The sequence below is a fragment of the Homo sapiens genome, chromosome 11 (genome assembly GCF_000001405.40).
Source record: "Homo sapiens chromosome 11, GRCh38.p14 Primary Assembly".
Taxonomy (NCBI): Eukaryota; Metazoa; Chordata; class Mammalia; order Primates; family Hominidae; genus Homo; species Homo sapiens.
In genome coordinates, this window is record NC_000011.10 from 70,361,886 (window position 1) to 70,388,772 (window position 26,887).

General features: G+C 43.7%; 1 protein-coding gene and 1 long non-coding RNA gene across 35 annotated transcripts in view, besides 1 other annotated feature; one reads left to right on the forward strand and one right to left on the reverse strand.

Moving 5' to 3' along the window:
• PPFIA1 (PPFI scaffold protein A1) overlaps positions 1 to 22,511 on the forward strand; it is a 113,707-nt gene extending 91,196 nt beyond the window's left edge. For 11 of the 33 annotated variants that reach the window (XM_006718716.4, XM_011545308.4, NM_001378006.1 and 8 more), the window contains 11 exons: positions 210 to 291; positions 403 to 603; positions 3,488 to 3,550; positions 4,056 to 4,082; positions 10,330 to 10,505; positions 10,592 to 10,689; positions 13,033 to 13,208; positions 14,647 to 14,715; positions 16,145 to 16,310; positions 20,203 to 20,273; positions 21,118 to 22,511. In XM_006718716.4, coding sequence (XP_006718779.1) covers positions 210 to 291; positions 403 to 603; positions 3,488 to 3,550; positions 4,056 to 4,082; positions 10,330 to 10,505; positions 10,592 to 10,689; positions 13,033 to 13,208; positions 14,647 to 14,715; positions 16,145 to 16,310; positions 20,203 to 20,261 — 1,117 coding nt within the window. In that variant the 3' untranslated portion in view covers positions 20,262 to 20,273; positions 21,118 to 22,511. Of the gene's footprint in view, positions 1 to 209; positions 292 to 402; positions 604 to 3,487; positions 3,551 to 4,055; positions 4,083 to 10,326; positions 10,506 to 10,591; positions 10,690 to 13,032; positions 13,209 to 14,646; positions 14,716 to 16,144; positions 16,587 to 20,202; positions 20,274 to 21,117 lie in introns of those variants that run through there. The other 22 variants (NR_045286.3, XM_011545312.3, XM_017018448.2 and 19 more) reach the window with 8 other exon arrangements.
• Positions 759 to 26,887, reverse strand: part of CTTN-DT (CTTN divergent transcript) — a 35,819-nt gene continuing 9,690 nt past the window's right edge. Inside the window, exons 2-3 of one of the 2 annotated variants that reach the window (NR_186321.1) lie at positions 10,308 to 10,649; positions 759 to 4,833 (exon numbers count right to left, since the gene is read on the reverse strand). This is a non-coding gene — a long non-coding RNA (CTTN divergent transcript). Of the gene's footprint in view, positions 4,834 to 10,307; positions 10,650 to 22,445; positions 24,318 to 26,887 lie in introns of those variants that run through there. The other variant, NR_186322.1, reaches the window with a different exon arrangement.
• Positions 22,475 to 22,981: an enhancer, noted in NCBI's record as "H3K4me1 hESC enhancer chr11:70230466-70230972 (GRCh37/hg19 assembly coordinates)". NCBI's record gives its function as "activates a minimal SCP1, AML or CMV promoter by ChIP-STARR-seq in primed H9 embryonic stem cells {active_cell/tissue: H9 hESC(primed)}" and the evidence as "EXISTENCE:reporter gene assay evidence [ECO:0000049][PMID:30033119]".

Below are 26,887 nucleotides of genomic sequence, written 5' to 3' on the forward strand. Positions count from 1 at the left end.
AGTAGCTGGGACTACAGGGGTGTGTCACTACACCTTGCAAATTTTTAAAATTTTTTGTAGAGTTGGGGTCTCGCTGTGTTGTCTAGGCTGGTCTTGAACTCCTGGGCTCAAGTGGTCCTCCTGCCTTGGCCTCCCAGAGAGCTGGGATTACAGGTGTGAGCTACCATGCCTGGCTGATTCTTTAATTTTCAATATCTTCTCCTTTATAGGCATGAATTGCTGGAGGAAGCCCGGAGACAAGGTTTACCTTTTGCCCAATGGGACGGGCCAACGGTTGTGGTCTGGCTAGAGGTACATCCTTCATTTAACATGCAGTTGCGTGGGTTACAGTATGTGAACTTACTGTTCTACTTTGTAGACTGTACCTCACTGTGCTGCCTTCCTTCCGCTTTCCGCCTCCAGCTCTGGGTTGGGATGCCAGCCTGGTATGTGGCTGCCTGCCGAGCAAACGTGAAAAGCGGGGCCATCATGTCGGCCCTGTCCGACACAGAGATCCAGCGTGAGATTGGCATCAGCAACCCCCTGCACAGGCTGAAGCTGAGGCTGGCCATCCAGGAGATCATGTCGCTGACCAGCCCGTCTGCCCCGCCCACATCTAGAACGGTACGTTCAGAGACAACCCCTGCATTCTTTGGAAACAGGGAATGCCTCTCTGAAGGTATCACTGCCCTGTTTACATTGCTTCTCCAGTTCCTTAACAGCATATGAAGTATAGTTCTAATTCAAAATTTTAGCATCACATACATTAGAACTTTTAATTTTGGGGAATTGGATGGTCAAAAGAAACTTTATTAAATGCTTTTATGAAAGATTGGCTAGAATGGCTTCATAGTATAAAAATATGAGCTTTTTTAAACATAGAAAAGCAATTACAAATTTAAATATGGAAATATGAAATACGAAAATACCAAAAAAAATTGGTAGAGATGGGGGTCTCGCTGTGTTGCCCAGGCTGGTCTTGCACTCCTGGGCTCCAAGCAGTCCTCCCACCTCAGCCTTCCAATGTGCTGGGATTACAGGCGTGAGCCACCACACCCAGCTGAGTTTATCAAAATTGAATCAGTCTAAGGGCCTCTTGAAGGAAAAAGTTAATATTTTAAGGACACATTTTATAATTAAATGTTTTGAATTTCATTTTTCAGTTTTCATGATTCAAACTGAGTAATTAACATTTGTACTATATATAAAGATATTTGCTAAGCCAATTATAGTGTATTTTTAAATGTTACTGGAATATAATATACATATAGAGAAATGCACGTATGAGTGAACAGTTAAATGAATCTGTAAAGTCAGCATCCCCTGTGTGGTCCACACCTACATTGAAAAATGGGATCTGACCAGGGCTCTGGAGGCCTCCTGCTCCTTCTGAGGCACTGCCCCTTCCCTAGGGATGAGTGCCTGGCTCCTGGTGCCATAGACTGCTCTGTTAGTTTCGTTCTTCATGTGTATAAACAAGATCATGTAGTATTCACTCTCTTGTGTCTGGCTTCTTTCACTTAATGTTATGTCTGTGAATTCATCCGTATCATTCCATGTGTAAGTAGCATCTTGAGTAAAATTTTTCTGTCTAGTTCAGAGGACTGGCTCTTCCAGGCTTCTTAGAAGCACCCATTTATTTATTTATTTAAGTTTTTTATTTTTTGGAGGCAAGGTCTTACTCTGTCACCCAGGCTGGAGTGCAGTGGCTCAATCGTAGCTCACTGCAGCCTCAACCTCTTGGGCTCAAGCGATCCTCCCACCTCAGCCTCCCAAGTAGTTGGGACTACAGGTGTGCACCACCACACCCAGCTAATTTCTAAAAACTTCTTAGAGACAGGGTCTTGCTGTGTTGACCAGGCTGGTCTGGAACTCCTGGCCTCCAGTAGTCCTCCTGCCTCAGAGTCCCTGAGTGCTGAAATTACAGGTGTGAGCCACCATGCCCAGCCAGAAGCATCCATTGAAATATAGGTGACATACTAGTAAGAGATACTTGTTATCCCACCGTCAAAACTGATCCCTAAGGAATTTTTGTATTTTTTGTAGAGATGGGTCTCACTTTGTTGCCTAGGCTGGTCTGGAACTCCTGGGCTCAAGCGATCCTCCTGCCTCAGACTCCCAAGTAGCTGTGACTACAGGCATGCACAGCCATGCTTGGAAAAGGTCCCTAAAGAATTCTAATCCTCCCTTCCCCATCATTCCAGTTTGCGGACATTTTTTAAAATAAAAACTAAAGGGGAAAATAAAGATGAGATCACTGGTTGCCTTGTAACCAGTGTTTTACTGTATTTGATTTATTTGGCCTGTAGGTGTTTTCCATTTGGGGAGCTAAAGACCCTGGGAGCTCAGGATTTCAAGCAGTTCACAAATCTGCAAATGTTCATCCAACATGAGCTGTACTTATACAGTTTCTCTCCATGTGGGAAGTCCCTCAAAGTCCTTAAGAAGGGTTATCCTACTTGAAAAAGAAGAACTATGTTAATAAAAACAAGAATGGTTATTGGGAGATAAGGGCAGGCCAACTCCAGATTTATAAAGTTGAGACTTTTTACACTGGCTGGATTCCCAGTCTCTGCTTTTAGTCTCCTCAGGAGAAAACAAATTCTTGTTGCAATGAAGAGCCTCACACATTTCTCCAAGGAGCACGTCAGCGCTGGATTTAGGGCTCCCAGTTACCTTACAAAAAAAGTTTTGAGGGGTTTTACTTGTTTTATTTATTTTTTTCTTCTTAATGAACAAATTATGGTGATGAACAATAAGCTTTGTCCTCCCCTGTTGCTCCAAGAGCTCCTTTCCCACAGCCTGCCTCAGGAGCAGTGTCTGAGCTCTTCCCTGGTTGTTTCACATGACAGTGGCCTTGCTGAAAATGAAGGTGCTGAGTGGTTTCTCCCATGTTTATCCACTGTCTTCAGTAATGATGGAGAACACCTCACATAAGGCAGACTCTTCACACCATGTCAAAATGCAAGGAAAAAATCTCCCTCAAGTAGACACACAGGCCACTGTCTGTCTCGTGTCTGGTTCTGATGGCTGCACAGAGCCATCGACACTGCTTAGCAGTGACCCCCTCTGCCCTGTGGCCTGCCTTCAGCCTTTCAGGCCGTCACGGAACATCTGCGAGAAAGCCCTCCAATAGCCAAAGCAAGAGTTTCATGCTGGGTTCTTTGTTGTTAATCTGCTTTAAATATATTGAATCAATAGTTACTTGAGAATTACTCAAAGTTTCCAGAAGTACACAACGTGTTTTCTTCTCTTGATATTTCACATACCTCGGGTAAGCATGGCATCTAAAGCTCTCGTCATCGTGTGCTCTTCTCCTGATGGTGTTGACGACCCAGTGTTAACAGGGAATGGTTATTCTGTACGGGCATCTGAACTGAAAAGTGAGAAGAGCGAACTTTGCCTCCTCGGCCCCTTCTCTGTGCCTGTGGCTTATGCGTGTGCCCCTCTCCTCTTTGTCACTGCTTCCCTTGCCCTGGATGTGGTTGGTGCACTGGGGTCACCTTAGACCACAGGAAATGTCTGGTTAACACACGAAGAGATGGAAACGCTCGCAGCCACGCCGCAAACGGTTAGTCACGCCCCACAGCCTGCACTCCTCCCAGCGCGTTTTCCACTTAAGACCGTCTGGGTTCTTTGCCTTTTTGTTGAAAACAAAATGTTGTTTTCCATTCAGTCGTTCCAGATAAGTATTTCCTTTAGTTATTAGTTGAAATGTGTAAGTAGAATTTGTATTTTATTTTAGATTTTTTCCAGGAACTTCAAGTTGGTAGACTCTGTCTTTTAGAATAGCTTTAATCTAGCTCTCCTTTTGGAGAGATCTCAGTTGAGCCTCCATGTGACTGACTGTGTGGCCCTTTCTCCTTCCATGAATATGCTTGGCACGGAGAGAGTCTGCTCCTTGCATGAGAAGTTGAAATTGTTGGTTTTGCATGAGTTTTGCATGATGCTTTGATAGTCTGAACTTTTTCACTCAGTGAAGCTGCATCTTCCCTGCAGAGTTGCGTTGCCTGCATTACCGAGCTCACCAATACTAATAGTTATGTTCTTTTGCATTCCTAACCACGTAACCCCAGGAAGATGAGGAGGGAAGCTGGGCTCAGGTTGGAGTCTTTCTCTAATATATTCTTCACTACATGTACAGCAGCAAAAAGCAATTGGAGTATGAAAACTTGTGTAATCTACTTTTTTTGATGTTTATAGCATCTTAGTTTATTCGGAGTACAGGATTGTTAATGATTTGAAAGCACTGGTCAAGCAAAACATAGCATCAAAGAGTACGTCTCATGGACAATTTTGAACATTTCTCATATGGTGCCATGGCAGTTATTTTTAATTAATATAGATTGCTTTGTTTAACATATGATCTTGTATACAAAGTCTTGTGGCTTAGGCAGCTTCTGAGATTATGTATGTAATTTCCTGGTAGGGTAATGTTATTACAAGATATACTGATAGGGAAATTGTGCTCTAATAAATTTCCAAACACAAAAATTGGCATAATGACTTTTCCTCTGTGCCTTTGTGTTGATTTTTTACTAAATACTATCCTAATACTATGTCCACTTAAAGATTTTCTTACTAATGGAATCCTAAGGAATTAAGCCTCTTCTTGAGTACTGTATATTTGAATTTTCAGCTTCTCAATTCTTTAACTCACCAAAAACTCTATCCCAACTGTTTTGCATTCTGTATGTTCAGACAGCTTGCCGAAATGTCGTGCGACGCCACTGGCCTTCTGTGGTCAGGGTGTATGTCTCAGTGGCACATTGCAGCCATGAGGCGTGGACAGGCAGTTCTAGAGGCTTTCCCGAATGGACTGTATTTGAGGGCTTCAGAATAATCATTATATATCTGAAAAGAATCAAAAGGATTTTAAATCATAATTTTCCTGATTACGAGGTGATGGTTGAAGCAGCTGTTTCCTTCTCTTGGTACTCCTAAAATCTAGCTCATTAGACTGTCCCCCCACCTTTTTTTATTTTTATTTTTTATTTGTATTTTTTAACAAAATAGAGTAGCTATAATGTGATTCTGTGGGCTTTTTTCTCTCTTGATTTAAGCATTCTGTGCCTCTCCTCCAGATAAATAACCTCATTGTTTAACTTGTTAGATATCCCTTTATAGGACCAATAATGACCATAAATGAATTATACAGGGTACATTTCATAATTACTTAAATTTCAGTATATTTTCCACCAAGGAGCAGAATTTGGTTAATACTTCAGTATGAAATTGCCTGAGTCAGGGACAGGAAGTGTAAATTAAATAAGCTTAACCTTGCTCTTTGCGGTGGAAATATAAACAAGACTGAGCTGTGGTGATGACTCCAGAACTAGCCGACATGCAGTCTAGTGGAAGCTCGTATCACTTTTCCCTCCTTCCTGTCTTCCAGATGGGACTGCCACCTGCTGCCAAGGGCAGTACACAGTGGCCAGCTCTTAAACCAGGGAGAACTTTGAGCTGCGCCGAGAGACTAGGGGAGGAAGACATCAAGGCGTGGTCAAAACCATTTATACCTCATTTAACAAAATTAGTAAGAGTGCTGGCTGCGTGGAGCATCTATGAGCAGGACACCCATGGTCCCCCCGTCATGGAGCTCCCATTTTATGGAGTTCATAAGACTGGGTTGTACTTGTGGCTGTTTCAGTGCTGGGAGTAAACACTGTGCAGTGGGTGTCTCTTCTAGTTCAGATGTTCTCTGGACTGACATCACCTGGTATGTTTTTTTTCCAGAAGGCTGCTAAGGCAGCCCAGGAGAAGAGGTGGGTCTCCCTGGGATGGAGCCTGATCCTTCTGGGAGTTCATGTTATAGGCCACTTCAGGAGTCTGAGCAGAGCATATAATGAGGAAACAGAAACAAGTAGGGTTCTGCTTCCATGCAGTTTTCTATTTAGACAATTCCTTTGTTTAATTTCCCCATTTAAGAATACATAATCAGCAAGCAAGAGAATAATACCAGATATCCCTGCTACATGTATCAGGCCTAGGCCAGGTGTAGTGGCTCACACCTGTAATCCCAGCACTTTGGGAGGCTGAGGCAGGTGGATCGCTTTCAGCCCAGGAGTTCAAGACCAGCCTGGGCAACGTGGGGAAACCCTGTCTCTACAAAAAATATAAAAATTAGCCAGGTATTGTTGGCTTGAGACTGTAGTCCCAGCTGTTTGGGAGGCTTAGGCTGGAAAATCGCTTGAGCCCGGAAAGTGGACGTTACAGTGAGCCGAGATCATGCCACTACACTCCAGCCTGGGTGACAGAGCGAGACCCTGTCTCTAAATAAATAAATAAATATCAGGCCTGTAAGGGTAAGGTTTAGAAGAGTGAATCAAGCATGGTGATGCTGTTAGATAGCTGATAATTACCCAAAAATGTTTGGCATATTTCTCTCTTTTTAGAGAAGGTAGTGAAGCATTTTTTTCTAGTAGAATTTAAACATTCTTTGTTTAAATTAGAGAATTTGAGTTATTGCTTAACTTAAATTTAGAATTTGAGTTATTGCTTCTAGTTTGGACCAAATAACAAATGATACTGGAAGCCATAGTTTCAAGACCAACATGGTGTTAGTTGAGAGTCACTACAAAGATACCATAAGGTAGCTATGACTGGTGACCATAACTTAGTCTTCCTCAGCTGCAGACTTCAGGTACCTCGGGTACCTTCCTTCGATATGTGTGTGTATAGAATGTGTTAGTTCTTTTTCATTGTACACATTTTGCATGCATTCTGTTAGATTTATCCCTGAGGATTTTGCAGGTTTTGATGCCACTGTAAATGATACTTTTTAAATTTCAATTTTCAGTTCATTGCTAGTATTTAGAAATATAGTTCATTTTTATAAATTGGCCTTGCATCCTGCAACTTTGCTTAAACCCACTTATTCTGATAGCTATTTTGTAGATTCCTTTTCTACACTGATAATTTTGTCATCTTCAAATAAAGACAATTTTATTTCTTTTGCAATTTATGTGCTTTTTATTTCTCTTTCTTGACCTCTTACAGTGACTGGGATTTCCAGTACAGTGTAGAATAAAGTGGTGAGAGTGGACATCCTTCGTTTGTTCCTTATCTTAGGAGAAACACAGTCAGTCTTTTTTTTTTTTTTTTTTAAAGAGACAGGGTCTCACCATGTTGCCCAGGCTGTTCTCAAACTCCTGACCTCAAGTGACCCGCCCACCTCTGCCTCCCATAGTGCTGGGATTATAGGCATGAGCCACCATGCCCAGCTGAGCAGTCTTTTACATTAAGTATGATGTTCACTGTAGGGTTTTTGTAAATGCCTTTTATCCAGTTGAGGCACTTTTCTTACATTTCCGGAATGCTTGGAGTTCCATAAATGATGACAAATCTTGTCAAATGCTTTTTCTGCATCTTTTGAGATGATATGGTTTTTTTTCAATCTCTTCATATGGTGAGTTTCATTGATTTTTCTTTTCAAATGTTGAATCAACTTATGTTTCTAGAATAATAAGCCATACTTGTCATGATATCTTATTGTTTTAATATGTTGTTGACTTGGCAATATTTTGTTACATATTTTTGGATCTGCCTGAGGGCTACTGATCTATAGTTTTGTTACATCTTTGGTTTTGCTCTCAGGATGATGCTGGCCTCATAGAATGAGATAAGGTGTTTCAAACTTTTTTGGAACACTTCGTGTAGAATCGTGGTTATTTATTTATTTATTTATGTTGATAAATGTTTGGTAGAATTCACCAGTGAAGCTATCTTGGGTAGAGATTTTCTTTTTTGTATGTTAGAAGATTTATGATTACAACTTCAGGTTCTAATAGAGATACGTGTTACCTGTTTCTGAGAAGCTTTGGTAGTTTATCTTTTAAGAAATTTGTCCATTTCATCTAAGTTGCTTAAAATTGTTCACAGTATTCCCTTATTCTTTCAATGTCTATTGAATCTATATTGATGTCCCCTCTTTGTTGTCATTTTGTGTTTGTTTTTGAGACAAGGTCTCGCTGTGTTGCCCAGGCTGGTCTCAGACACCTGGACTCAAGCCATCCTCCTGCTTCAGCCTCCTGAGTAGCTGAAGTTACCGACATGGCCACCATGCCTGGCTGCCCTCTTTTACTCTTTTTTTTTTTTTCTTTTTTTGAGATGGGGCCTCGCTCTGCTGCCCAGGCTGGAGTGCAGTGGCTCAATCTCAGCTCACTGCACCTCCGCCTCCTGGTTCAAGCAATTTTCATGCCTCAGCCTCCCAAGTAGCTGGGATTACAGGCATGTGCCACCATGCCTAGCTAATTTTTGTACTTTTAGTAGAGAAGAGGTTTCGCCATGTTGGCCAGGCTGGTCCCCTCTTTCATTCTTGATAGTGGTGATTTATATCTTCTGTTTTGTCTTATCTAGTCCGGCTAGGGTTTGTTAATTTGATTGATATTTATGAAGTACTAGATTTTCATTTCACTGGTTTATTTGCTGTTATTTTTCTGTTTTCTGTTTCATTGATTTCTGCTTTTTTACCTTGTTCCTTCTGCTTGCCGTGGATTTCATTCGTTCTTCTAGTTTAAGTTTTAATTTTTTTTAATTTTGAGACAGAGTCTCGCTCTATCTCCCAGGCTGGAGTGCAGTGGCATGATCTTGGCTCACTGCAACCTCCACCTCCTGGGTTCAAGCCATTCTCCTGCCTCAGCCTCCTGAGTAGCTGGAACTGCAGGCATGTACCACCATGCCCAGCTAATTTTTGTATCTTTAGTAGAGATGGGATTTCACTATGTTGGCGAGGCTGGTGTCGGAACTCCTGACCAAAGGTGATCCGCCTGCCTCGGCCTCCCAGAGTGCTAGGATTACAGGTGTGAGCCACTGCACCAGGCTAGTTTAAGTTTTTAAAAGCAGACTCTTGGATCACTGATTTTCGAGGTCTTTCTCATTGATAATCCTTTGTCGTGATTTTTGCTCTCACGGTATTGTTTTAACTGTTTCCCACAATTTTTGAATTTTTTAAAAATTTTCTTTAAATTAAAAATATTTTCTGGTGGGGCAGCAGTGGCTCACGCCTGTAATCCTAGCGGTTTGGGAGGCCAAGGTGGGTGGTGGATCACTTGAGGTCAGGAGTTTGAGACCAGTCTGCCCAACATGTTGAAACCCCGTCTGTACTAAAAATACAAAAATTAGTCAGGTGTGGTGGCTTGTGCTTGTAATCCCAGATACTCGGGAGGCTGAGGCCGGAGAATGACTTGAACCCTGGAGGCGAGGTTGCAGTGATCCGAGGTCGCGCTACTGCACTCCAGCCTGGGCGACAGAGGGAGCAATTTCCCCTTGTAATTTCTTGCTGTGAATTATTTAGAAGTATGCTAATTTTTAAATATTTAGTAGGGGGTTCTAGATAGCTTTTTATTATTGATTTCTAATTTCTGTTGAAGTCAAGAGAATGTACCTTGATTTCAGTCTCTTTAAGTATGTTGAGATTTGTCTGTCTTTGAGAATATACTATACAGACATTAAAAGCATATATATTCTGTTGTTGGGTGGCATGTTCTATATTCTGTTGTTGGGTAGAGTGTTCTATATTCTGTTGTTTGGTGGATTGTTCTATATTCTGTTGTTGAGTGGCGTGTTCTATGTTCTCTTGTTGGGTGGCGTGTTCTGTATTCTCTTGTTGGGTGGCGTGTTCTATCTTCTGTTGTTGGGTGGCGTGTTCTACATTCCATTGTTGGGTGGAGTGTTCTATATTCTGTTGTTGGGTGGTGTGTTCTATGAAACGTCAGGTCAAGTTTGTTAAGGGTTGTTAGTTTAGGTTTTCTATATTCTTAATTTTTTTCTTTTTTTGCTTCTTTCATCAGTTGCTATGAGAAAGAAGTGTTGAATTTTTTCAACTATAATTGTGAATTTGCCTGTTTCCCCATTTAGTCCTGTTGGTTGTTGCTTTATCTCTTCTCTAAAACTATATTTTAACTGACTTTTACTGATTTTGAAATGGATTTTTTCTTTAGGAAAACAAAGTGTTAAAATGTAAACCAACCAGAGATAATTTTAGTGAGCAGTGTTGAATTGAGCCTTCAAACTTGTTCATGAGTCGTGATCAATCTTTGTCACATTATTATACTAAAAACTATCTCAGAGAGGAAATTTATAGCCAGTTACAGTTTTTTTGTAGTTTGATTTAAAAGTTAAATTTATCACAACGAATCATATATTTTTCATGTTACTATTCCTGTTGTATAAAAATTTTACTAACAAATTTAAAAGGTGAGAAGAGATCAAATTATTTTGCAATTATAAAATTATCATTAGTTTAGCCTTTGAGAATATAGGTAATAGATTAAAAATTCATTTTAAAAATGATATAAACTACTTTTGAGACTTCCTCTGTAACTGACCTTTTCCATTTATGAAAAGCAGACACTCGCCTATGGGGACATGAACCACGAGTGGATCGGCAACGAGTGGCTCCCCAGCCTGGGCCTCCCCCAGTACCGCAGCTACTTCATGGAGTGCCTTGTAGACGCCAGGATGCTGGACCACTTGACCAAGAAAGACCTTCGAGGGCAGCTGAAAATGGTCGACAGTTTTCACAGGTAACTTAATGGAGATAGTTCTTAATAATTGGCTAAGATTTTTCACTGTTACCATCTCTAAATCATCTCTCTTTTCTTCCAAATAGAAACAGTTTCCAGTGTGGAATTATGTGCCTGAGAAGGTTAAATTATGACCGGAAAGAACTGGAAAGAAAAAGAGAAGAAAGTCAGAGTGAAATAAAAGGTTAGTACATGACATTTAATTGATTCGGTTTACTCCTACTTGCTGGTGTGTTTGGAGCCTCAGTGACTTCCTATTTTTCAAAAAATCAAGAAAGGCTAAATTTAAGTGGAGAAAACTAACTAGTCTAGTGTCATTGCAGAGGAGGGCTGGATGAAGTTGAGTGCTTTTGAGATTCTCTTCCACAGCTAGAGAACTGTTCCCTGTGTTCTCACACATCAGTCTGGAGGTTAAATGTCTCCGGCTAGTCGTTTCCTGTGAGTTGAGAGTTTTCCTTTGGTCATGCCCTGTGTACTCCTTCACTCCGAAATGCTGTTCCACACTGTTAGATAACAACAGAGCAAAGCTCACTTGATGATTCAAGTGTGAGAAATATGACTGGGGGCTTATCCAAGGGGTTCAGGAGAACAGGAGAGCACCGTGCAGTTCTGCTCCCGGAGGGGAAGGAGAGGCAGCGTCTGCATTTCAGCTGGTCCTTGAAGAAGGAGGAGGAGCTGCTTAGGGTAAGGAAAAGGCATTTCAGTTGGAAAACACAGGCCAGGGAGGCGTTAGAGGATGTGAGACATTCATCCAGAAGACGTGGAGTTGGTTCTCTTCTCCGTTGGGGAGTCCCTCACTCGTACTCAAATTTATTTGTTTGTTTGTTTATTTATTTATTTAATTTATTTTGAGACAGGGTCTTGCTCTGTAGCCCAGGCTAGGCTGGAGTGCAGTGGTGTGATCACAGCTCACTACAGCCTTGAACTCCTGGGCTCAAGTGCTCTTCCTGCCTTAGCCTCCCTAGTAGCTCCTGGGAGTACAGGTGTGCTCCACCATGCCTGGAATTTTTTTTTTTTTTGTAGAGACAGGGTCTCGCTATGTTGCCTAGGCTGATCTCGAACTTTTGGGCTCAGGGGATCCTCCCACCTTGGCCTTCCAAAGTGTTGGGATTACAGGTGTGAGCCACCACACCCAGTCAGAATTTGCTTTTAAAATTAGACAGTAAACATTAAGCTCAGAGTAATGACTCCCAGAATTCCTGGAATGCAAGGAAGTCACCAATAACAATAATGATAAGAAGAGGCCAGTCTTACTAACAGTGAGTAGGTGCCAGGTGGTGTTCTAAGTACTCAGGGGTTGCTTTCTTTCATCTTTACCTTAGCCCTGTCAGTCTAAGTGCTGTTTTCATCCCCACTTTATACTAAGAAAGAAACTAAGGATAAAAATATGGTTGGGAGATGGCCCAGTTGAAGGGAAGTCTACTTGTGATTGAGTTAATGTGAATCAGGAGAAAAGTCGTAAGTCGACATTTATACAGTGTGTGTATATGTATGGACTTTTATCCAGAAAAGGGCATTGGCAATGAAATATGTCCATCTGTTTTGTTTTCTGTATCTATTTTACATCTTTTTCCAATAGACAAAGATCTTTGGAAGTGTCTTTGGAAGTGATTGGTGATCATCTGCATATATTTTTAGAGTGGCTATTTTTAGATCTAATAGAGCAAATTGAATAATTTGTTAATTTGCATAAGATATTGTGGCTGGGCATGGTAGCTCATGCCTGTAATCTCAGCACTTTGGGAGGCCAAGGCAGGAGTATTGTCTGAGCCCATGAGTTCAAGACCAGCCTGGGGAACATAGTGAGACCCTGTCAGTACAAAAAAATTAGCTGAGCTTCGTGACACACGCCTGTAGTTCCAGCTCCTCAGGAGGCTGAGGTGGGAAAAATCACTTGAGCCCAGGAGGTTGAGGCTGCAGTGAGCTATGATGGTACCAGGCTGTATCCAGCCTGGGTGACAGAGCAGGACATTGTCAAGAAAAAGAGAGGAAAAAAAAAGATTTTCTGCAAAGTCTCTAATGTGCTGGATGATATTGTTAAGTTTCTCTCATTTTAAAATGAGACAAAGACTTCGAGATTAGAAATGAGAGGTTTCTGTTGAATTGAGCAAAGTGTTCATATTATTATGGAGCCAGCTCCATCCGTGATGAAGTATTTCAGAAGACTCTCCAGTCTGTGTGTGAAGCATGTTTATACATGTTAGGTATTCAAGTTCTTGCAGTCCTCTGGCTTCTGATCCCTGGATCCTCATCATCTTCTTTTCTCTAGAAATAATAACTTCATTCCTCTCGTGCTCACTGGAAGGATGAGTTCTAATGGGAGAGTCTCCCTGAGAGTGGAGCAGGGCCAGGACACCATTGTCTCAGTGCAGCAAATGGTTGTCTATTTAGCAGTGTCTCCCAGCACTTTTCTCAGGAGCCGAAGGATTAGGAACCATGGTAGGAATCTTTCTCCTGCATTACAGGGTACATGTGATAAAGATGGCTTTCTGAAGCCACTTTTATAATTGTCTTTATTCTTTTGCAGACGTGCTTGTTTGGAGCAATGATCGAGTGATTCGCTGGATCCTGTCAATTGGCCTTAAAGAATATGCAAACAATCTTATAGAGAGTGGTGTTCACGGAGCACTTCTGGCCTTAGATGAAACCTTCGACTTCAGTGCACTGGCACTGCTGTTACAGATCCCGACGCAGAACACACAGGTGACGCCAAACCTGTCTGTGTCTGCACTCATTGTTCAGTTGGCACCCTGATTATAGACAGCTAGTTATTCGAATAGAAAGAAACTTTAAAAAAAAAAAAAAAAAAAAACTTCAGACAACTAGTTTTTGGTTTTTTTTTTTTTTTTTGGTCTATTGGCTTTCCCTTTTCTGTTGGAAGCATGAGAGTCCTGCAATAAACCAGATAAGGACGATCTTTCATTCCAGCCCATGTGCCTGATCAGAAGAGTGACATATATTTAGTTCTTACATGGAAAGAGAAGTGTTTTTAGGTGTGCCACATGAAGATTTTATTAATTTTGTTTTTATGGGTAATTGCCTTATGCCATTCTTTTTGACTCATGGGCTCATTTGAAAAACAGGGAACTTTTATTCCTCTACAGAACATTGAATATGCCAGGCAAGGTGGCTCATGCCCACAATCCCAACACTTTGGGAGGCCCAGGTAGGCAGATTGCTTGAGTCCAGGAGTTCGAGACCAGCCTGGCCATCATGGTGAAGCTCTGTCTCTACAAAAAAATACAAAAAAATTAGCCAGGTGTGGTGGCACATGCCTGTAGTCCCAGCTACTTGGGAGGCCAAGGCAGGGAGATTGCTTGGCCCGGGAAGTGGAGGTTGTGATGAGCTCTGATTGCGCCACTGCACTCCAGCCTGAGTGACAGAGTGAGACCCCCATCCCAAAGAAAAAGGAAAAAAAAAAAAAAAAATTGAATATCTTTGGCCAATACCCCTGACCAACCCACACAACACACCCTTGTTAATATGACTCCAAGGATCATGGATCCCTTTCTGCAAAAGCCCATCCATTGACTCCACATTAGATGCCCTGATTTAAAATATTATTATGGTTCAATGTAGTCATAGCAGTGAGGGAGTTGTTTTTTTGTTTGTTTTGAGATGGAGTTTCGCTCTTGTTGCCCAGGCTGGAGTGCAATGGTGCAATCTTGGCTCACTGCACCCTCTGTCTCCCAGGTTCAAGTGATTTTCCTGCCTCATCCTCCCAAGTAGCTGAGATTACCGGCACACGCCACCGTGCCCGGCTTATTTTTGTATTTTTAGTATAGATGGGATTTCACCATGTTGGCCAAGCTGGTCTCAAACTCCTGATCTCAAGTGATCTGCCTGTCTCGGCCTCCCAAAGTACTGGGATTACAGGCATGAGCCACCACACCCAGGCCCTAATTTTTGTATTTTTAGTAGAGACGGGGTTTTACCATGTTGCCCAGGCTGGTCTTGAACTCCTGACCTCAGGTGGTCTGTCCGCCTTGGCGTCCGAAAGTGTTGGAATTACAGGCGTGAGCCACCAGACCCAGCCAGCAGTGAGGGAGTTTAAGTCTTGGTTTAAAAAACAATTACGATGCTAACACCCTTCAAATTAGATTTGATGAAAGTTTTATTTGTTTTTCTTTGGTTATTTCAGGCTCGTGCTGTCTTGGAAAGAGAATTTAACAACCTTTTGGTCATGGGGACTGATAGAAGGTTTGATGAAGTAAGTTTTTGGCCTAATGTTCTTTAAATGTCTGAAATGTGTGTAAATGTTTAAATGTGTGTGAAATGTAAGCTGTTATTATTATTATACTTGGGACATCATGTAGCTAGGCAGTCTCTCTGGATGTTAGAAGTCAGGCTTTGCTCTTATACATTTATTCACAAATGAGCCTTTAAAAACTAATACCTGGGCCGGGCACGGCGGCTCGCACCTGTAATCCCAGCACTTTCGGAGGCTGAGGCGGGCGGATCACCAGAGGTCAGGAGTTTAAGACCAGCCCGGCCAACATGGTGAAACCCCATCTCTACTAAAAAACACAAAAATTAGCCGGGCGTTGTGGTAGGTGCCTATAATCGCAGCTACTTGGGAGGCTGAGGCTGGAGAATCGCTTAAACCTGGGAGGTGGAGGTTGCAGTGAGCTGAGATCGCACCACTGCCCTCCAGCCTGGGCGACAGAGAGAAACTCCATCTCAAAAAGAAACCCCCTCCCCGCAAAAAAAAAACCCACAAAAGTAATACCTTCAAGAAGGTAGTTTTGTTTTTATTTTTGCTATTTAATTTTTGACATCCCTCAAAAATGGTTTTCACATCATAAAACATTGGTTGCAGCTTAGGAACAGAGTCTGTAAGTTGGGTTTTGGGGACCAGTAGTTATCCTACCCCAGTCCAGAGTGTACCCCCATACTCCTGTGCATGGGTGGGGTGGCATGTTTCAGAAGTATATTAAAAACACAAAATGTTAATTTCCCCTTAAAACCATGACTCATTTGTTCCACACGATTAGGAGTCTCTTAATTGGACCTTAAGAAAAGTTGAGTTTGACAGAGAGAATAGAAGACCACCTCTAAAGATGAAGCACTTGTTGCTATATCCTGGCATAAGATAAAATTGTTTCTAGTTAAAAATTGTTTGTAGAGCTGCGTGTGGTAGGGGCACACCTGTAGTTCCAGCTACTTAGGAGGCTGCGGTGGGAGGATGGCTTGAGCCCAGGAGTTTGAGGTTACAGTGAGCTATAATCACACCACTGCATTCCAGCTCGGGCAACAGATCTAGACTCTGTCTGTAAAAACATAAATAAAAATGAAAAATAAACTATTTTTAAGATAAATAAAAACGTATTACGTTGCAAGAAAGTGATTCCTGCAAGGTGTAAGAAGTAGAACATGATGCTGTGGAGAAGGAGCACATCCTCATGGCCCAGCACCGACCTCATTTCGCCAGCTGAGGCCCAGCCGGACCATCACCATGCCCCGTTTCACGCTGAAGTTCCAGGTTGGGCAATATATTGTGTGGTCATCAAGAAGGGATTAAATACATGTGGACAAGAATACATTCTCGAGATCAGCAGTCATTTTAAAGGACATGTAACTTTACATCTCTGACCTTTATTTTTTAAATGAATCTTGTTTTTTGTTCCTTAATTTACCAGGATGATGATAAAAGCTTTAGGAGAGCACCTTCATGGAGAAAAAAGTTTAGACCAAAGGACATTCGTGGCTTAGCTGCTGGGTCAGCAGAGACTCTCCCTGCAAACTTCCGGGTGACTTCTTCTATGTCTTCCCCCTCTATGCAGCCAAAGAAGATGCAGATGGACGGTATGTGATGGGTCACACTAACCTGTCACTTGTTGGGAGCATGAGCAGCTTTCTGTCTGGAACATTAATAATGATCTAAAACGGCCTATTTAATATGTTACAAGGCACTTGAGTATGGTTGCATGTCCAAATATAAATGTTTTTAAATTAACTCTAACATTTGTTTATAAAAGTTTAACCATAATAATAGAATTTTTAAAACACGCTTGTCTGGTTGAATCTTAGCATATTTTTCCAACTAATAAAGCTCAGTATTCGTCTGTGTTCTCAGAGAGAGACTGAGGCATACTTGTAAATTTGTGTCTGTGACAGGCCGTGCTAGAAAGCTCTTTCAGGAAATAGTAGTGTAGTAGTAGCTTCCAAACCACATAATTTACTGCTCTCCACACCAGAGAAAATAACTGAGTACATTTTTAAGAACACACAGTTTCCAGCTTGTGTGAGCTCTGCCTATGCTTTCTGCCCTCCCTGCTGCTGCTGTTCCGTGCAGTCACATGTCTACCCATTAGAGGGCAGGGAAGGGAGGAAGGTGAACCTCCAAGAAGTCCCCAGTGGAGCGAGGCAGCTATTGACTATACCAGCCAGAGAGAGAGCATCACTGCCATGATTTCACATGCAGTTTGGGATTTTCCCTTAGACGGCCACTTTGATTTGAGGTTAACAGTTGACCATGGCTTCCTTACAGGTCTCTCAACTCTGCCCTTGTACTCATCTAATGAAAGGCAGTGCACAGGTTGAAGAGCCAGGCTGCCTAGGTTTGACTCCAGCTCTGCCACTAGGAGGTGCATGACCCTGAACAAGTCATTTAACTACCCTGGCCTCGGTCTCCCCATCTGTAAAATGGTCGTCATGGTAGTGTCTTCCTCATAGAGTAGTTGCGATGATTGAATGCCTCATTCATTAAGCTGGTGAAGTTCTGAGCCCGTGTCAGTCGGGGCTGTTTGGCAGCCCCTGTGCTACACACAGGTCACTCATGCTCACTTCTGAGGCCAGTGAGCAGACTGGAGGAAAGGAAGTGGCATTAAAAACTGTGCTAATCCTTGAGGCCAGGAGTTTGAGACCAGCCTGACCAACATGGCGAAACCCCGTCTCTACAAAAAAAAAATACAAAAATTAGCCAGGTGTGGTGGCACATGCTTGTAATCCCAGCTACTTGGGAGGCTAAGGCACAAGAATCATTTGGACCTGGGAGGCAGAGGGTGCAGTGAGCCGAGATTGTGCCGCTGCACTCTAGCCTTGATGACAGACTGAGACTCTGTCTCAAAAAAAAAAAAAATTTTTTTTTAAGTGCTAATTAGGGGCCAAGCATGGTGGCTTATACCAGTAATCCTAGCACTTTGATAGGCTGAGAGGCAGGAGAATCACTTGAGCTGAAGTTTGAGACTAGCCTGGGCAACACAGTGAGACCCCATCTCTAAAAAAAAAAAAATAATAATTGAAAACTGTGCGAATGGGGTTTTTGCCAATTTTTTTTGTCATCAGTCCCTCCCGTACGTAGGTTCATAAATTTTGTTCTCTATCACCTGTATAAAAATAAAAAGAAAAGTACATTTAAATAAAACCTTAGTTAAGCTGGACGCTTTGGGTGAGAATAGCTTACTTTGTGGCATTTTTAGTAAAAAGCTGTATTATTTATTTATTGTTTGCCAGAATTTGATAATATACTCAAGGGGGAAAACCCAGTATATCTTTTAACTAGGAACTTTTTACAAATTAGCATTTTTCTTCCAAGAGTCATGCATATAATTCTTAGAAAGCAGAACTGTGACTTGGCCTTCAGCTCAAGCTCTGTCACCTGGAGTCCACGAGTGCTTTCTTGTTTTACTTGTGGCTTCAATTTCAGTTTTCCTTCTGATAAATCACATCTCCCTTGTTAAATGTTAACAGGAATATTAAGAATGAGAGTTTGGATGGATGAAAAGTAAACCTAGGCCGGGCGCGGTGGCTCACGCCTGTAATCCCAGCACTTTGGGAGGCTGAGGTGGGTGGATCAGCTGAGGTCAGGAGTTCGAGACCAGCCTGGCCAACGTGGTGAGACCAGCCTGGCCAACGTGGTGAAACCCTGTCTCTAGTAAAAATACAAAAAAATCGGCCGGGCTCGGTGGCTCACGCCTGTAATCCCAGCACTTTGGGAGGCCAAGGCGGGAGGATCACGAGGTCAGGAGATCAAGACCATCCTGGCTAACACGGTGAAACTCCATCTCTACTAAAAATACAAAAAAAAAAAAAAAATTAGCTGGGCACGGTGGCAGGCGCCTGTAGTACCAGCTACTCGGGAGGCTGGGGCAGGAGAATGGCATGAACCCAGGAGGCGGAGCTTGTGGTGAGCCAAGATCACACCACTGCACTCCAGCCTGGGCGACAGAGCAGGACTGTCTCAAAAGAAAAAATTTGCCAGGCATGGTGACACATGCCAATAATCCCAGCTACTTAGGAGGCTGAGGCAGGAGAATGGCTTGAACCTGGGAGGCAGAGGTTGCAGTGAGCCGAAATCATGCCACTGTACTCCAGCCTGGGCGACAAGAGCAAAACTCTGTCTCAAAAAAAAAAAAAAAGTAAACCTAAAAGGTATAGGGAATTTATTATAAAGAAGACTTTTTACCCTTACATTAAATAACTCAGGCACAAGCCTGCTAAAGGGATTATTATTATTATTGAGACAGGGTCTCACTCTGTTGCCCAGGTTGGAGTGCAGTGGCTCAGTCTCGGCTTACTGCAACCTCAGCCTCCCAAGTAGCTGGGACCACAGGTGTGGTCCCATGCCTTGCTAATTTTTTGAATTTTTTGTAGAGATGGGCTCTCACCATGTTGCCCAGGCTGGTCTTAACTCTTGGGCTCAAGCAATCCTCCTGCCTTGACCTCCCAAATTGCTGGAATTACAGACGCGAGCCACCGTGCCCAGCAAAGTTGACTATTTTAATGGCTTTTTAATTAAGGGAATGTGGGGTAAACTCCAGCAGGTCTCCCAGGTTCTTAAGAGTCAGAGGGTTTGTGAAGATCATCTGTCCTCACCAACAGTCCCAACTGTCTTAATGTCTTTGCTGGAACCATGCAGGATGTTGATTAAGTGTTCCTGGTATACCTGTGGGAAAACAAAAAACATAACCGGGAGCAGCCAGTACCTGCTTCCGATTTGCAAAAACTTAAAATCCCAGTTGTTAATGGAAATCGGGCTTACTTATGGCCACACTGTGTTTCTTGAACAAGAACCAAAATCTGTGGTCTCTATGATTAATATTTCTGGTAGGAACTGAGACTGGGCTTCAGTTTTTAGATCAGCTTTCACCCCACTCCCTGGCCAACGCCCCACCCCTGCAGCCAGATCTCTGCACCTGCTCTGCTCCTCCCCAGGAGAAAAGGGCACCGGCTTCCCAGACACCCAGCTAGTGCTGGGTAGCAAGGTTCTCTCCCTCCTCTTAGACTGGTCTTGTACCCGACGTCGTTGGCCTCTGCGCTCAGTGGGGCTGGGCAGCATCAGCAGTGCCGCTTGGTGTTTCCTTCATACCAGTGTTAGAGATGGAGCACTTAGGGCAGGGAGAAAGCCCCATTGGTCTATGAATGCAGAGTTTAGTAAGAGATAAAGGGATCACTCTAAGTAGGGGTCATTTATGCAGATGTACATTTTGAAATTGTTACTGTACCATTTGGTGCTTGGTATTTCGGAGTAGTGTTCCAGAGTCTCCCGGGGCTCTTTGGGAGCTGGGGAGAGCCACCACTGGGTGACACTTGGATCTCTCTGGCTCCATCCCGCCCACTCAGGCAGCTCCCCTCAGGTCCCTCCGTAGGCACTGCTGTAGGTGTGAAGATGTGTGTCTACTTGTGCCCTCATGTGATGTTCTAAGACTAACTGCACGCTGTGTTTGCACGCTTCCTCTCGTGGCTGTTGAAACAGGCAATGTATCAGGAACACAGAGGTTGGATTCTGCTACAGTCAGGACTTACTCCTGCTAAAGTCTCCTGTTGGTGAGTAGAGAGCACCACAACCCCTAGAGATGGCTCAGAGGCACAGCAGGAGTCATCGGAGCTGCAGTGCCAGACTAGGGGTGTGGACCATGAAAGCCAGTGCAGTTTTTGGGGAATTTAAAATATATATAGACACAAGCTCTCCGTACCCATTAAGATCATTTTGTTGTTACAATTGATCATAAAGAGGTTAGTGTGTCCTCTTTTTTTAAGGAAAAAAATGTATTTTCACCTTTTCCTTAAACCTGAAAATGCTGACTCATTTTAATTGTCTGTGGATGTCATGGGGGTGGAGTGGGGAGGAGAGCAGAGCATGGCAGAGAGCGTCAGGGGAGAGTCTCTCCTCCTGACGTCGTTATGCACATTGCTGTGATTCCTAAGCTTGCTTTGTTTTAAATACACATTCTTGAATGAAACAAGCCCAAAGTTTTGTGGTTAATTATATATTATACTAAGTGTGACACTAATAGCCTTTCAGTTTGGAGAGACTGGTTCTTAAAACTGCGGACTCTGGCTGGTGAGTGGCCCGCCCTCTCCTTGCTGTTCTAAGCAATTTTAAGGTCTCCGTTGGAATATTTGACTGGTTTGTTCATCTTTTATTTGTAATTGGTAACATGGAGACGTAAGCCAAAATGAAGTCAGCCAAGGAGCTGTCTCATTGATGTGCATAGCCCTTGATGTTCTAGCCAGTGATTCTCAGAGCAGCTACGGCACAGAAAGTGAGGGGTCCTGGAGGGGAGGGGTCAGTGTCGGGGGGACGTTTGGGCCCCAGCATCAGAAGTTCCCGTTCGTCAGTATGGCCCGGCCTGTACTGAGTGGTTTTTTGTTTGTGTTTATTTTCCAGTTTACCCACACTACTTCTACAGATGATTATGCAGCATTTGAATCCAACAAAGACTACATTTTGGAATCCAGTGGAATCTTTAATCTTGTTAATACTTGTTATATGGACCCTAAGATATTTTATTACAGAGTTTTTAATTAGTGAAAAATTCATGAATACCATAGAGAAAATATTTTAGAATTTAATGTTTCTTATATTTATGTAAACTTATGACTCTTCATTTATATAGTTACTTACTTTTTCATGTATATCCAGGCTATAAATATCCTTTCAAATCATGTTCTTATACCTAATTTTAGTCTTTCAAATGAATGTACTGTAATGCTTGTATGTATAAATCCTATGAATAGAGGGCTTTTGTAAATTATGCATTTATTGTAATTATCATTAATTTTTTAATGATAAACCATGACAAAGGATTTTACGTTTATAAAATTATGACAGAAGCCATGTGCATTATCCTTTACGGACGCAGCCTAGCTCTACAGCAATCATCCTGAAATAAGCATACCTAATTTCAAGCAATTGTTGTATTTTCATGACTGACCTTAACTGTACTTTTTCTAGCAAGAGATGCTTTATTCTGCAGCATGAACAGATTTAAAATGGCTGGTGTTAAATATCAGCTCCTAATAAGATGTGGACTGAAAACACTATCACAACACTATGAGAAGCCCCTAGCACTGGTTAACGCTTTCCTAGCCTAGTCTCTGGATTTGGGGAGCTTGTCTTCAGTGGCTGAGACTGTGAGCTGGGAGCAGTTCTCTCAGCTGGAGAGACTCGGGATGGGGTAACCTGGGGACCAGTCTAGCCCCTGCACCCTCTTCCCTGCCTCTGCTCCTTGGGAGCGGGTGGAGAGACACCCATGTGGCTCCCCTTAGGGCCAGCACCAAGCACCACGCTCTCATCCTGCAAGTCGGCGCACACAGTGGATGAAGGCAGGAGACCCAGAAAGCAGTGCAGTGCAGCTCTAATAAAGGCCTTATTTTTCTTATGTAAATCATCTTTTTACATTTGTTTGTAAACATGTTTAAAGAACGAACCTAGTGGGACATTTTTAGACTTTGATGCTCTAGCCATTTTGGATTGTGTAAGTTGCAGATGTGGCTTTTACTTTTTAAATGGCATATTAACAAGCCAGCAAAGTGTGTCAGACCATGGCGTGGTATTTATTGTGCAGCAGATCCAGAGACAGAGGCAGCCTGTCTTTTCAGTTGGTTTCTGCTTTTAATTTACTTGTACAATTCATTGTTACTGTTCTGTTTTTCTATTAATCTTTTGTCAACTTCCTGATTATGTAACAAAGTATGTACAGTCTACTTTTGAACTATTTTTATCACAGTATTATTTATTGCTTTCTTTCAATAAAGTACTGAAGCATTTTCCACTGCCAATGAAGAATACTGAGAATAAGCTCTAACTGTTTTGGAAGGCAGTGTCACCATATGGAAATTGTATTACAGAAGTCAATTGACAGAATAAAGCAGCCAGGAGATGAAGTGCAGGTTCAGGGCGTCATCCTGCCCGCTGCTCTGGAGGTCCCGAGCCTGCATCACTGCAGGAGACAGGTGCCTGGTGTTAAATTGTTAAATGCAAATGTGGGGGCTCACATACACAGTCGGTGGGTAGGGCCCAAAGGCAGAGCCTAGGCCGTGGACCGCGCGCATGCACGCATGTCCCTTAACACCGTTTCCCAGCTCTGCTTCCTTCCTCGGTGCTGGCTTCACACTCCCACCTGCTCTCCCTGCCTGCTCACAAAGGTGGCTCCCAGGCCTGCACCCTTCCACACTGATGGCCTCTGGAAATCAGGAAGCCTGGTTCCCTAATAGCTCACATCCGGTCCTGAGTTGTGAAGCAGCCCAGGGTGGCAGAGGGGAGGCGACACGCTGACAGGCTGGGGGAGTCAAGCAGGGCCCACCCATGGAAGTTGGTGAGCTGAGGCTGAAGGGCTGGAAGCTGATGCCCAAGAGGAAAGCCAGACACCAGCAAGTGTCCCTTCCCCTCCTCCCACCTCAGTGTTGCCATTGAGCCTGGGATTCGCAGAGCCCATGGCCACCACCACCCCACCTGGAGCAGGCATCAGCGGCCACTGCCGACGTCACCTTGGTCTCCGTTTCCTCATTCTGTCTCCGTTGCTGACACCTCGTCTGAGTGGCACGTGCTGTCACGTGGGTCAGTGTGTCCTGGGACGTTTCTCTCAGGCAGCCATCGGGTGTTCAGTGCTTTCCTGTTTCGAACCTGTGTTTGCTGATCTTCCTGCTTAATGTAGGGAAAGCCTTGTTTTCTGTACTTTCTAGTTCTTGAGGTTAACTTCAGTGTGAGCTTTAAAACATAATGTAGTGCCTCCCTGCTTTTTTCCATTTAATAGTCCCTTTTGGCTGAACAAAGCCAAAGGCATGCGTCGAGTATCTTAAAACTTCCAGAAAAAAAGAGACTGGGCAGGGTGTGGTGGCTCACGTCTGTAATCCAGCACTTTGGGGGGCCGAGGTGGGCGGATCACGAGGTCAAGAGATCGAGACCATCCTTCCCAACATGGTGAAACCCAGTCGCTACTAAAAATACAAAAATTAGCTGGCCTGTAGTCCCAGCTACTCGGGAGGCTAAGGCAGGAGAAACGCTTGGACCCAGGAGGTAGAGGTTGCAGTGAGCCAAGATCGCACCACTGCACTCCAGCCTGGCAACAGAGCAAGACTCCATCTCAAAAAAAAAAAAAAAAAAAAAAAAAAAGGGACTGGGGGCAGTGGCTCATGCCTGTAATCCCAGCACTTTGGGAGGCCAAGCTGGGAAGATCACTTGAGGCCAGGAGTTCAAGACCAGCCTGGGCAACGTAGTAAGACCCCCTTCTCTACCAAAAAAAAAAAAAGTGAAGACATTTTAAAATAAAACGACACTTGGCATGCAAATAGGTTTGACGTCTAGGACCGTTAATCTTCAAACTTGAGTGTGCGAAGCATCACCTGGCAAAAGATGCAGTTGTGGGCATCCCCTCTCCATTCAGAGCGATTCAGCACTCATTCATTGAGTATCTATCTACTCTGTACCAGGCTCTTTTTGGTGCTGGAGAGACCGTGGTAAGAACATTATTTCACCCTTCCAGGAAAAAGAAACGTTTCTAAGCCTGTACATCCAAGAGACAGCCCAGGAGTACAAGTTGCGCCATGACATTGGCATGGAGGGAGGGAGAAGTCCTCTGGGGAGGCCTGCATCACACAACATCAAATGCTGAGAACCATTTCATGTTCACGCTACATATTTACTGTCTCCTATGAATAAAACTCCAGACAGGGTTTCAGAGAACACCAATGCAAATGGACCTGTATTAGGTAATATGCCACCTTTCTTCATGTGACCTGTCATGCACCAGCTCTTGTGAGGTGGTTTTTTTTTTTGAGATGGAGTTTCACTCTTGTTGCCCAGACTGGAGTGCAATGACACAATCTTGGCTCACTGCAACCTCTGCCTCTTGGGTTCAAGTGATTCTTCTGCCTCAGCCTCCCAAGTCACTAGGATTACAGGTGCACGCCACCACACCTGGTTAATTTTTTGTTATTTTTAGTGGAGACGGCGTTTCGCCATTTTGGCCAGGCTGGTCTCGAACTCCTGACCTCAGGTGATCCACCCACCTCTGCCTCCCAAAGTGCTGGGATTACAGGCGTGAGCCACGGCGCCCGGTTGTGAATTTTTTTTTTTTTTTTTTTTTGAGACGTCTCACTCTGTCACCAAGGCTGGAGTGCAGCGGCGCGATTTCGGCTCACTGCAAGCTCGCCTCCCGGGTTCACGCCATTCTCCTGCCTCAGCCTCCTGAGTAGCTGGGACTACAGACGCCCGCCACCATGCCCAGCTAATTTTTTGTATTTTTTAGTAGAGACGGGGTTTCACCATGTTAGCCAGGACGGTCTCGATCTCCCGACCTCGTGATCCGCCCGCCTCGGCCTCCCAGAATGCTGGGATTACAAGCATGAGCCACCACGCCCAGCCACTGGTCGTGAATACTTTAAATAGGTCTTGCCAATCGACCTCAAAAGAAGCCAACAGAGCACAATTTTTCACTCCTGATGAAGGGCGGTCGACAAAGCACGACTCTGCCTTAACACTACACGGTTCTCATCTTCAAATAGACCAAAATGTGCTCATTAAACAAAAGCAATATAATTTAGGAATGGGGGTATTACAGAAACTGTAAGTCTTGAGGGAGTTGAATCACCAATTCTCCAACACCCTATTTTCATTTTTAAGTTTTTTGTTATAATCAAAGTCATACATGCACATCATTTAAAGTAAAAACAAGCCGGGTGCAGTGGCTTACGCCTATAATCCCAGCACTTTGGGAGGGTGAGGCGAGTGGACTGCCTGAGGTCAGGAGGTCAAGACCAGCCTGGCCAATGTAGTGAAACCTCATCTCTACGAAAAATACAAAAAAAATTAGCTGGGCGTGGTGGTGGGCACCTGTAATCCCAGCGACTAGGGAGGCTGAGGCAGGAGAATCGCTTGAACCCAAGACGCAGAGGTTGCAGTGAGCTGAAATCACACCATTGCACTCCAGTCTGGGCAACAAGAGCGAAACTCCGTCTCAAAAATAAATAAAAATAAAAAAAGAATAAAACCAGCAGCCCTTGCCCTTGCCCTTCCTCTCTTTCTCCCTGCTCCCTAGACCATGGGGAATGGATTTGGCTATTCCTTCTATTTGCTTTCTTACTCCCAAATGATATGCGCTCAGCGTGGCGTCCTGCTTCCTCCATTTTGGGCCATGTCTTGTGGCTGATGAGAATTTGAGCACCTGGCACCTCCCTTCCCCTCTCCCAGTCTCCCAGCTGAGGTTAAGTCAAGTTGTTGGGATCAAATCCATGTTCTCTGTTTTCATTATTATGACTATATTATTTATTGGTGAGGCAAGTGGGATACTTTGATTATAACACAGGGGGGCACATGGTAAGACTATATTCCCCAGTATTCACAGATGAAATAACACGATGTCTGGGGTTTGCTTTAAAATAATCTTAGGGGGCCGGGCGCGGTGGCTCACGCCTGTAATCCCAGCACTTTGGGAGGCCGAGGCGGGTGGATCACCGGGTCAGGGGTTCGAGACCAGCCTGACCAACATGGTGAAACCCCGTCTCTACTAAAAATACAAAAATTAGCTGGGCGTGATGGCGGGCGCTTGCAATCGCAGCTACTCAGGAGGCTGAGGCAGAATTGCTTGAACCCGGGAGATGGAGGTTGCAGTGAGTCGAGATTGCACCACTGCACTCTAGCCTGGGTGACAGAGCAAGACTCGGTCTCAAAAAAAAAATATCATCATCATCATCATCATCTTAGGGGAGGGAGGGCTTATGGATTGAACAACACTGACCATGTGGATTGGTGACTGTTGAAGGTGGATGGTGCATTCATGATGGTTACATTAATCCACCTTCACATTTGTGTGAGATTTTCCATAATAAAATGTTTGCTGGGTGCAGTGGCTCACACCTGTAATCCCAACACTTTGAGGCCAAGGCTGTAGGATTTCTTGAGGCCAGGAGCTCAAGACCAGCCTGGGCAACAGGCTCTGCCTCTGCAGTAAATTTAAAGATTAGCGGGGTGTGGTGGCACACGCCTGTAGTTCCAGCTATTCTGGAGGGTGAGGTGGGGGACCACTTGAGCTTGGGAGGTCGAGGCTGTAGTGAGTTACGATTATGCCACTGGACTCCAGCCTGGGCAACACAGCAAGACCCTGTCTCAAAAAAATAGTCCAAAAAACAATTTTTAATAGTTGTCTCAGGCAGACCCT